The 12,314-nt window shown below is 38.4% G+C and overlaps 2 pseudogenes; both read right to left on the bottom strand.

Annotated features, from left to right (window-relative positions):
- RPL7AP73 (ribosomal protein L7a pseudogene 73) lies at positions 1,262-1,629 on the bottom strand (annotated as a pseudogene).
- On the bottom strand, positions 1,696-1,775 carry LOC124903254 (uncharacterized; annotated as a pseudogene).
- Positions 1,776-12,314: the final 10,539 nt, after the last annotated feature.

The raw sequence follows: 12,314 nt of genomic DNA, 5'->3' as shown, positions 1-12,314 counted from the left end.
CCCCGTCTACACCCTGGCTAGGAAGGGCACACAGGAGCACTCTCCTGAGTCACATCGATCTCATTTGCATCATTACCTTTTCCTAAATCAACCCCTACAGCCAACCTCCAAGCTTGGGGTGGGCACATTTCCCTGGACATGCAGAGGCTATACTGTAGAAAAGTTAATGCCTGAATAATAAATCAGGGTACTTTTGGAAAGAGAGAGGGATGGATGACAGGTAGTCAAGAACACAAGGTGCCCACCATAGAACTGGGTGCATGAAAGCAAATGATTTTCTTGAATAGAAACATAAATTAGCAACTAATTTACTAGAACACATGCTCTATAAAACTATAGGATTTAAAAGCATGTTAAGACAGAAGGTTAAAAACCCCCCTAATATCTATTCCATGTTTCCTATGTACCTTTAGCATTATGTGTTACATAATTTAATGTCAAGAAGAGCCAGAGAATTGAGATATCTTATCCAAGATCACTCAGCTGGTAAGTGGCAAACCTGGATTTCCATTTCTCAGTTGTTTTTTTTTTTTTTTTTTTTTTTTTTTTTTTTTTTGATATGGAGTTTTGCTCTTGTTGCCCAGGCTGGAGTGCAGTGGCGTGATCTCGGGTCACTGCAACCTCCGCTTCCCTGGTTCAAGCGATTCTCCTGCCTCAGCCTCCCGAATAGGTGGGATTACAGGTGTGTGCCACCAAACCCGGCTAATTTTTTGTATTTTTAGTAGAGATGGGGTTTCACCACGTTGGCTAGGCTGGTCGTGAACTCCTGACCTCAGGTGATCTTGCCTGCCTCAGCCTCCCAAAGTGCTGGGATTACAGACGTGAGCCACAGCGCCCGTCCGTCTTTTTTTCTTTTGAGACGGAGTCTTCCAGTGTCTGACACGGAGTCTCCCTCTGTCGCCAGGCTGGAGTGCAGTGGTGCAATCTCGGCTCACTGCAACCTTCGCCTCCTGGGTTCAAGTGATTCTCCTGCCTCAGCCTCCTGAGTAGCTGGGACTACAGGTGCGTGCCACCATGCCCAGCTAATTTTTGTATTTTTAGTCAAGACGGGATTTCACCATGTTGGCCAGGAAGGTCTTGATCTTCTGACCTCATGATCTGCCTGCCTCGGCTTCTCAAAGTGCTGGGATTACAGTCCTGAGCCACCGTGCCCAGCCTTTATGGTCTTACAGATTGGCAACAGTGTATTAAAAAATTTCCATCATGTCTCTTTATTCCAGAATTTCTCAAAGCTCTTTTTTTTGTTTTTGTTGCTTTGTTTTGAAGGAAAATTTGTATTTTAATTATTTTTATGTACAGAAAACTCGACAGTGTACATTTAACCCAGTTTACTGGCAAGTTCTTTAGCCTTTGCCTTTTTGAGCTTGGCGATACGAGCCACAGACTTGGGACCCAGGACATTGCTGCCTCAGTGACGGCGGATCTCACAGTATCTGTCGTTGTAATTGGTCCTGATGGCTTCCACCAGCTTAGCCAAAGCGCCTTTGTCTTCTGACTTCACTTGTGTGAAGGTGACAGTGGTGTAGGTCTTCCTGTGGACTAGATATTCCAGTCTTGCCTTCCCCTTGATAATGCAGTAAGGGACCCCCATTTTACGACACAGGGCAGGCAAGAAGACAGCCAGCTGGAAGAAAGCATTAGCTGAAGAGTGTATTTTGACTAAAAGCAGTAAATTTCAGAGTTAGCTTGGTAGCAATTGCTCAGGGTTAAAAAGCTCATGGATTTGCACTTCAAAAAGCTCTTAAATAATAATGTTCATTGTGAATCTTTAGGAAGGAGATATGTTAAGTGGGCTTTTCTATACTTTTCTGATCACCAAATCAGTTTTTTTTCTGTGGAAAACGCCCTGATCTCTTCCTGGAGTAGTGCTCTGGAGAGCAGTTTTTGAGACAGTCGTTTAAATGAATCTGGAGAGAACTTTATCCCTTACCTTTCTCATTTAATCACCACCAGAAGCCAATAAGGAAGGCTCATATATATTGATAATATGGCCACAGGTTTAACCCAAATTAAAGTTTCCTGAAGCACAAATATTCCATTTAACTGAACATCAGAGACATATAATTTTAGAGCTATAGTGACAGATGCCCCCTTCCCCGTGATAGCATGTCTTCTGTTATTTTAAATCATAAAATTTGCATTTCTTTCATATAAACTATTGACATTTTCTTGTGTCCCTTTCACAATTTTGCTCCCCCTACCAGAAACAAAACCCAAATACAGAAGCTTTACATTGTTAAAGGAATGTCTATGAGGAAAATAATCAATAGATTATTGGATTATTTCTTTAGAGCCAGTACAGGAAGAGCTGTAATAAGGAGTATTTTCTACACATTTTAATTTGAAGTCATAGCTTTCAAAACTAGCAGTGAATTATTTTGTATGTCTTGAGGGGTAGCTTATATTTATCATATGAGACTGTATTTTTTACATATCATAAAACGTTATTCAGGTAATGCCTTCTGATTAAGCTTGATAAGCACACTGGTAATACCATACTTGACCAAACACAAAGTTTGATCATACAGACACAATTTTGTATTGTCAGGCACTTCAGAAAATGGAGTATGAAGCATATATCACACAATGGAAACACTGGTGCCTATTTTATCTAATTATGATCATTCAAAGGATGAAGAAACTCTAGTATGTTTACTCCTTTGGGGAGTCTGAGCATACAAGCTTTATTTTAGAAACATCATCAGGGTTATAAAAGAGAACATAATTGCACAGTCCAATTTCACTCACACAGACATTGTTCATGTTTTGTATCACTGAAGCAGTATTTTCTGGCTAGTGCATTCTGAAGATGTTGGTGTAAAATAATAGACAATTAGATCTGAAGGTACCCTTAGATATTATTTACTGAGTCGCAGATGAGGAAAGGGGAAAGATAGGCATAAATGTGTATTCAGTAAAAGAATGGCATAATTCTGAAACAATATTCAAAGACACATCAGCAATTCTCAAGATTCATAAATAGGATGAACCTAGACTTTTACACTAAACCTAACTTAAAGTAACAAAACCCACAAATTATTAGCACAAACATCTCATGAGAATCAGCAAATAGATGGCATATGAACTTACCTATGTAAAACATAATTAACATTGAATCACCAGAATCAATTTTTAGCAAAACTGTTTAAAAATTTTTATGTTAGGATGTTTAAAAACACAATTTTAAAATGTTTTCATAATTGATTTTTAAATTCAGAAATAGAATGAAAGAATTTTCCAAATTTGGCTTAAATTATCGTCGCTATTATTTGTCACCCCTGAAATGAGGGATTAATGAAAAAGTGACATATAAAGATTAAGGCAGTACCATGGTGCTCTCTGGTGGCAACATCTTTGTATCTGCTTGAAAAAACAGAAAAAAGACCAGCTAACTTCCAGAGGTAAGACATGCTATAAATAATGATTTTAAAAGACTCTTTCATTCAACAGTATTTGCCTGTAATTTGGTTGTATTTCGTTAAGCATAACCTCATTATTAGAGTCCAGCATACATGTATAAACTGAGAATGTATGGGAAATCCAGTTCTATCTTGGAATTAGAGCTAGACTTCTGTCCATACTTCTGTGCCCTATGACGTGTGTAAATATTAGGAGGCAGGGCATCCATGGGCAGAAGCTGAGGAAGTGAAACCATTGGGAACTAAAATGCGGAAGCTGGGGCTACGGCCATTCCTGAATTTGGTCATCATCTGGGAGGGAAATGGTGTGTGCGTGGCTGGTTACTCAATGAGGAACACATCTAGGAAAAGCATGAGAACATTGGACAGATGATTGCAAAGCAATCCTAGCTCCACAGCCCCCATGCCCAACCATACAAATTTTAAGCTCATAAAAGAATTTCAGGAGCTCAAACAACTCAATAGCAAAAACACAACTTGATCAAAAAAGGGGCAAAGGACATGAACAGACATTTCTCAAAAGAAGACACACAAATAGCCAACAGATATATGAAAAAATGCCCATCGTGAATCATCAGGCAGCTGCAGATAAAACCCACTGTGAGATATTAACTCACACCTCATACTTGTTAGATTGGCTATTGTCAAAAAGACAAAACATAGCAAGTGTTGCCAAGTATATGGAGAAAAGAACCAAAGTACACTGTCAGTGGGAATTTAAATTAGTACAGTCATTATGGAAAACAGTGTGGCAGTTCCTCAAAAAATTAAAAATAGAACCACCATATGATCCAGCAATCTCACTGCTGGGTATATATCCAAAGAAATTGAAATTAGTATGTCAAAGAAATATTTGTACTGCCATGTTCATAGCACAATAGCCAAGATAGGAAAAAAAGTGTCCATTATTGGATGAATGGGTAAAGAAAATGTGGTACACACAATGCAATGGTATTCAGACTTTAAAAAGAAGGTAATTTTGTCATTTGCAACAACATGAATGAAACTGGAAACCATTATGGTAAGTGAAATAAGCCAGCCAAAGACAGACAGATACCACATGGTCTCATTTATATGTGGAATCTAAAACCGTTGAACTCATAGAATCAGAGTAGAATGGTGATTACCAGGGGCTGGAGTAGGGGAGGTTGTGGATGGGGAAAAAAGAGATGTCAGCCAAATGATATAAAGTTTAAGTTGAACAGGAAGGTTAAGTTTCAGTGATGTATTGCACATCCTGGTGACTATAGTTAATAATAATGTTTGCATATTTCAAAATTGCTTAAAGAGAAGATGTTTTAATAATTTCAACTTTTATTTTAGATTCAGGGGTACATGTGCAGGTTTGTTATATGGGCATATTGTGTGATATTAAGGTTTGGGGTATTATTGATCCTGTCACCCAGGTAGTGAGCATAGTACCCAACAGTTAATTATTCAACTCTTCCCCTCTTTTGCCTCCTCCACCAGCAGCAGCCTCCAGTGTCCATTGCTGAACACTTTACATCTGCCAGTACCAAATGTTTAGCTTCCACCTCTAAGTAAGAACGTGTGGTACTTGCTTTTCTGTTCCTACCTTAATCAGCTTAGGATAGTGCCCTCCAGCTGCATCTATGTTGCTGCAAAAAACATGATTTCATTCTTTTTTGTGGCTGTGTAGTATTCCATGGTGTATTTGTACCACATTTTCTTTATTAAATCCACCCTCGATGGACACCTAGGTTGATTCCATGATTTTGCTATTGTGAATAGTGCTGCAATGAACATGTCTGTGATGAACATATGAGAGCCTGTGTCTTTTGGGTAGAACAATTTATTTTCTTTTGGATATATACCCAGTAGTGGGAATCCTGGATTGAATGGTAGCTCTGTTTTAAGTTCTTTGAGAAATCTAAAAGAATAGATTTTAAATGTTCTTACTACAAAAAAAAAAGTAGATGAAGTGTTAATTAGCTTGACAATCATTTCACAGTCTATATTTGTATCTACTTATCTATCTCTTTATCTATCCCTTAAACATCTTGTTCCTCATGTCACCCTACTCCATTCTGTTTGCAATGTGATCATCCCTTTGTGTGGTGGATCTATACTGTATATGCTACCTGCCCGTTGCTGTACAGGAAAAAACATACGGCACGAAGGCTTCAGTGCTACCACAGGTAGCATTCAGGTGTTCATGGTGGTATCCATGTCAAATAAAAGGGAACCGAACCATTTTGCATTCCCACCAGCAATGAATGAGAGTTCCTGTTGTTCCACACCTTCACCAGCATTTGGTGTTGTCAGTATTTTGGATTTTAGTTATTGTAGTATGTGTGTTGTGGTATCTCATTGTTGTGTTAATTTACAATTCCCTAATAACACATGATGTTGAGCATCTTTTCATGGGTTTATGCCTGTTTGCCATCAGTCTATCTTCTTTGGGGAGGTGTCTGTTCAGATCTTTTTCCCATTGCACTTACTTTTTTAGTCACCTTTTCTTGGACATTCTTCTCTTTTGATGAAAATTGTGTTTGTCGAGATTGACCTTCCTGTTTCCCAGAATCTTGCTTACTTTCAGTTTTGAAATTTGTGTAATTTTTCTCGGTGTGATTTTGTTCTTTCTGGAATACATCCTTCAGAAGTTCATTTCATGACATGTCCTCATGACATTTTTTGCAGTTTGTCTGAAAACTATTTATTTCTCTGTTGTTCTTCAATGAGAGTTTAACTGAATACAAATCTCTGGATTTATAGCAGTTCCTTTTAGAACTTGGAAGATGTTATTCTGGTATTTTCTAGCTTATCGTTTTTAGTAGCCATTTTTATAGGTAATTTGGAGTTTAATTTTTGAGGGGAGGGATTTTACAGTTCTAAAATTCGTCTGAAATGGGAGATGTTTGAACATTTATTTCTCTTGGTATTTGTTTTGTTTTTGAAGCTGAGGATTCATTTATTCCATTTAATTTGGAAAACTCTTAGTCATTATATCTTGAAATATTGCTGTACTCCTGTTTCTCAGTTCTTTTATATTAAAGGTTCTGTAAACCATATCCTGGACCTTATTTTGTACTTCATGTGTCTTAACCTCTCCTCCATGTTTTCCATCTCTATCTATGCTGTGCATTACGGTTAGTTTCTTCTACATGTTGTTCAGCTCCTTGTTTCGATCTTCAACAGTGTCTAATTAAGATGCCCACTGTTTACCGAGTTTTAAATTTCAATGGTGATATATTTTACATTGAGATGTTAATTTTGTTTCTTTATAAAATTCTTTATAAAATTTTGCTAATTTTTAATAGCATTTTTCCTTTTCATTTTCCAATTCCAGGTTTTAATCCTTAAATATCTCCTTCTTGAAGTTCAAACAAAAATGTAAACCTCTCACACTGCAACTCCATTGCACTTTCTGTGTATTAAACTTCTCTCTGTTCATTATTGTTGAATCAATTTATGCCCAACAAAATAGGGGCTATAATGTGTTTGTCTCAAAAATAATAACTCAAATACTAATAAAAGCAAGATTCTCCCTGATGCTGGTCATTGATTCTTTCCACAAACATTTGTAGAGATCTACTACATGCCTGGCAGTAAGCTGTGTGAGAATATGAAGTAACCAAGCTCCTTATCCTTAAAGAGCTTAGAGTTAACAAAGGGGAAGTTGTAGAAGTAAAGGCAATAATAAACCAGTTGTGTCAGGAGAATATAGATCTGGCTTTCTTGTTAATTGACTAGCCAAGATAATTATCCCAGATGTATAGTGTTTGTAATATTTTATATATACAAATAAAGGGCTACGAGAACAGAAACCTACATATTTATACTTGCTCAACTGTGGCAGGCATAATGAAAGTGGCTCGTCTCACACCCAGTACAAAGCATATTTCAAAATATGTTGAGCCTAGCAAAGATATAGAGCAAAAACTCCATTTATCGTCTGGGGAGGGGGGAAATCCTGTTTAAATGTTTTTTGTTTTTGTTATTGTTTTTGTTTTTTAACTGAGTGCATGTAAAATATCCCTTTACTTCAAGCACATAAAAATTGTCAAAAAGGAATCACGTTTGATTCCATTCCAATAGATATAAAAGTGCATTTTAAAATAGTATTTATTCAAGATAAAACTGTTAGAATATTTGGAAGGGAAGGGAATTTTCTTAACCTGCTAAATGGTACGCATAATAAACAATAGCAAACGTTACACACCATGATGAAATAGAAACAACGCTTTAACGTCAAGAACACAAGAGAAAGCTTTCTGTTTTCACCTCATTGATTCAACCTTGTAGCTGAGGTGTTTTAATGCCTGCAAAGGCATTACAAACACAGACAGGAGCATCAGGTTTGGAAAGCAATTTCATGCCAAAGTTTTAACTCCAGAGGAAACCTATACACTGTGACATGTAAAAGAATGTTCTTTGCAGTGCAATTTATCATATTGAGCAAATGGAATCAACTTCACTGTCCTGTTCAAAGAGATGTATTACTACTATACTGTTGTTAAAAAAGAACTAGAACTACAAATATAAATAGATAAAACTTCAAAACCTACCATTAAGTGAATACCACAAATTGCAAGAGAATATATATACATACACACACATATATCTGCCAATGTGTATCTCAATAGAATGATGCCATATGTGTTGTAGACATTTCAACTGATAAAATAATGGTTCATAGTGATTATGAATTATACATATTTACATAAGAAACAAAACTAATACTCAGAAGTCAGTAGTTACTTCTGAGAATGGAGAGATGGGATAGTATCTGTGTATTTGTGAAGATTATTTCTTTAATTTAGAAAAATATATAAAGTAATATCGTAAACTTGGGTACACAAGTATTTGTTATTATTTCTGTACTTTTTAGTACATTTTAAGTATTTCATAATTTAAAAATATATATATTTTTGAGACGGAGTCTCAGCCTGTTGCCCAGGCTGGAGTGCAATGGCACGATCTCGGCTCACTGCAACCTCGGCCTCCCCGGTTCAAGTGATTCTCCTGCTTCAGCCTCCCAAGTAGCTGGGATTACAGGTGCGCGCCACCATGCCCAGCTATTTTTTTTTATCTTTAGTAGAGACGGGGTTTCACCATGTTGGCCAGGCTAGTCTTGAACTCCTGACCTCATGATCCGCTCGCCTCGGCCTCCCAAAGTGCTGTGATTTCAGGCTTGAGCCACTGCACCCAGCCAGTAAAAAATAATTTTTAAAAATGTCATATTACCACATGATGGCGCCATAATCCCATTAATATAGCTATAAGGCCTTAGCCATCAGAAAAAATATTCATTACATCCCATTGATTTATAAAGAAGACAACGAAAAGTCTACAGTTCCCTACTCATGGGTGCTAATGTGGGCCTGCCTGCCTCTGTGTGTGTGTGTGTGTGTGCACGCGCATATGTGAGAGGGGCAAGGCAGAGTTTCTCTCTTGCACTTTACTAAAAGCAGCTAAAAGAAACCATTCTGAGGCTGGGCATGGTGGCTCACACCTGTAATCCCAGCACTTTGGGAGGCCGAGACAGGTGGATCACTTGAGATCAGGAGTTCAAGACCAGCCTGGCCAACATGGTGAAACCCCGTCTCTACCAAAAATATAAAAAATTAGCCAGGTGTGGTGGCCTGCGCCTGTAATCCCAGTTACTCAGGAAGCTGAGGCAGGAGAATCGCTTGAATCCATGAGGCAAAGGTTGCAGTAAGTGGAGATTGTACCACTGCACTCCAGCCTGGGGCAACAGAGCGAGACTCTGTCCCAAAAAAAAAAAAAAAAAAAAAAAAGAAGAATAACTGTCTCCTTAGAATTGGAAAGAAACCCAGTTTGCAATAAGGTAGAATCTCAGTAACAATAAAGTCAAAAGCTTATTAATTTAAAAATCTGCTAAATTTAAATTCAGATTATTTGGATAGAAAGTTGTTCTTTGCATTAATATAGATGGTTTGCTAGAGGCTTCCTTTCTGATCAGCAGAAATGGGACGATGTGGTTAACTTGGCTGTAGGTGGCTGCAACTAGATTTTGGATATGAAATTCAGCTCCTTTTATCTAGAAAATGGGTAAAACAACCCGTACCCACAAACTATTGTTTTGAGATGAATTTCTCTTTACATCCTCATCGATAAAGGACTCTTAACTGATGAAAGGTTAATTAACCTCCCTGTCACCTCTCCCTTTGAAGGAATAGACTATTGTCATATACCATAAGAATCGCATCCCATTCAGTATGATGCTGTCACCAACCATTTATAAAATGGCCAATTCCTATTAACTATGAAACTCTTACATATAAAAATGCTGAATTAAAAACAGGGTTCTACACTATTAACTATGCTTTTGGATAACTAATTAATAATATTTTGTTTTTTATCAGAACCTGCTTTGTGCTTGGTGGATGAAAGAGTGCAATATATTGTTTATTTATTTTAATTAAACAATATATATTGTTTTAAAAATATATTTATAATTTTTATCAAAGCTAAGATTGAGAAGAACAGACCTTTTTCTCTTGAATTACTAATAGGTATGAAAATGACAATATAGTTTTACTTCGTGGCAGAATATTAATATTTTTATGTATTGTGCATTTCGCTGCTATAGTAATGACATTAAATTAAAAAAAAAACAGTGAGAAATGTTACTCACACATATATTCCTTGGACCAGCTTAGTGGTCTTATCTCAAAAATATGCACAACATTTTTTCCCAAGTTGACATGTGATACAGTTTCAATAACATTTAGATAACAGTATTTAAGACATGCTGATAACACCATTAGTCTGGTGCAGGGCTTACCAGGGTGAGCTGCAGATTCTAAGGCTATAATGGGATGTTTGTTTGTTTAATTAGGTGGTTAGTGGCTTTATGAAAAAAAATTGAATTTGAAATTGTAAGTTAGAGCAGTATAGTTAGAAAAGGTGAGAATACAAATGCAATTGACGAATAATCCAATACTGATGGTAGAGAAAGAGGAGTACACTGAAATAAGAATCAGATAGGCTTTATGGATGGGAATTTGGCTACAGTCTAGAAGGATGAAATCTAAAAATGACTTGAGTTGTGGCCTTGTAAATACGGTTGTACAAATCATCATGGTTAACATCAAATCACAGTACTGTTTGAAGCTTAAAGATGACAGTTTTAGGATAAAGGGGAAGATAGTATCAATGCGGTATATATTCCAGTTGTGGGAATTTCGTATTTAAGAGGTCTATAGGAAAGGCTTAAAGATATGGCCAAAAATCCAAGGATTTACCTGTTAATGTCACACGAAGGCTCCTACCCTTGCCCAGATAAAAGCCCAGGAAGTTTCGTGATAAGAAGGGATGAGGTGAGGGAAGGGATTGGGCCACTCCTCCTCATCCTTCTGAGAAATATTTTCAATTCAACTCTTTTAGAAACTTTGAGCTGGAAATGATCTTGCAATCTAAGCACCATATGAGGAAATTGAGGACAATGATATTACTTCACTTATTTCAGGCAGGGCTGAAACCTAAAAACTTAAGAGCCATATATGGACAGACTAGGTTCTTTGAAGTGGCTGAGAGTTGCTGGTGTAATTTGAGTCTCGGGGCACTGGGGTGTGGGCCTGGATTGGTGAGTACACACGGAATGACCTGCCCATCCAGGAACCTCTGAGAATCAGGGAGCAAAGATCAAAGAAAAAGAAAAATGTCAGGACTTGGGAGAGGGTGTATTACTGAAGGTTAGAATATAACGTTTGCTTTGCACGGCATGGGGATTGTCCAGTTTCCTGGAGTCGGCACAACAAAGGACCGCAAACTGAGCCGCTAAAACAACAGAAATGTATTGACTCACTGTTCTGGAAGCCAGAAGTGTAAGATCCAGCAGTCCCCAGGGCTGTGCTTCTTCTGGAGGTGCGGCGGAAGGATCTGTTGCAGGCTCTTTCCTGGCTTCCACCGATTCCTTGGCAGCAGAACTCCAGTCTCCATGCAGCGTTCTCCTGTGTGTCGGCTTCTTCACCTGGCCTTCTTTTTATAAGAACACAGTCGTGTTAGATTAGGGGCCCATCCTACTCCAGTGTGACGTCGTCTTGACTGATTACCTCTAAGGAACCTCTTTCCAAACAGGGCCCCATTCTGAGGTGTTGGGGGTTAGGACCTCAACATAGGATGTTTGATGGGGGGAAAAATTCAACCCAGAAGAGGGGTGGCGGAAGCTTTATTAATAATGACACATTTTCCCAATGGCCCAGCACCTCTGGTTATGGTAAAAGGTTTCACCCACGCCTGAGGCGGGGCTTTCATTCTTCATTCCTACTGCTTTTCTCATCCTATACTCTTTTCCTGGAAGCAACCATTCTCAAGATGTAAACTGCCACCTCTATGTAGACAGCTCGCTAATGTATGTGACCAGGCCATAGTCCTTTCCTGAAATTGAGGCCTTCTTAACCCACTGCCTGTCGACACATCACCAGGTATCACCCAGATACAGAAACCTCGATGGAAGCCAAGCCTGGCCGCTTCTTCCTCAACCCCCACCTAAGGAAGGTCCCGCCCCAGGTAAAGGCGCCTCCCGTGGTCCCCAGCTAAGCTTAGCTCCTGCACAACAATCTTGGGTGCTTCCCTCCCTTTCTCCCTCCACATCCCGAGTCCCTCAGCTTCACAGATAAATTGCCTTCACATCTGTAGAATGCCACCTCTTCCTCCTTATTCCTCTGGTTTAGGCAAAAAGTGCATTTTCTCTACATAGATGGTCTTACCTTTGTTCTTCTCCAACCCATCTTCAACACTGAGACAGGAGAATTCCTTCTGAAACCCAAACCCGATCACTTCACTCTCCTATTTTAATCCTAGGACTTGCAGAATATGTTCCTGTCTCCAGCTTCAGCTTTTCTCCTCATTTTTGGAGTTCATAAGTTTTAAAGACATGTATTGAGAAACTGCTGTGTGCCTGGC

This window comes from Homo sapiens, chromosome 13 (genome assembly GCF_000001405.40).
Source record: "Homo sapiens chromosome 13, GRCh38.p14 Primary Assembly".
NCBI classification, from domain to species: domain Eukaryota; kingdom Metazoa; phylum Chordata; class Mammalia; order Primates; family Hominidae; genus Homo; species Homo sapiens.
The sequence above is the reverse complement of the archived record's forward strand: the minus strand, read 5'-3'. Positions and strand labels throughout refer to the sequence as shown.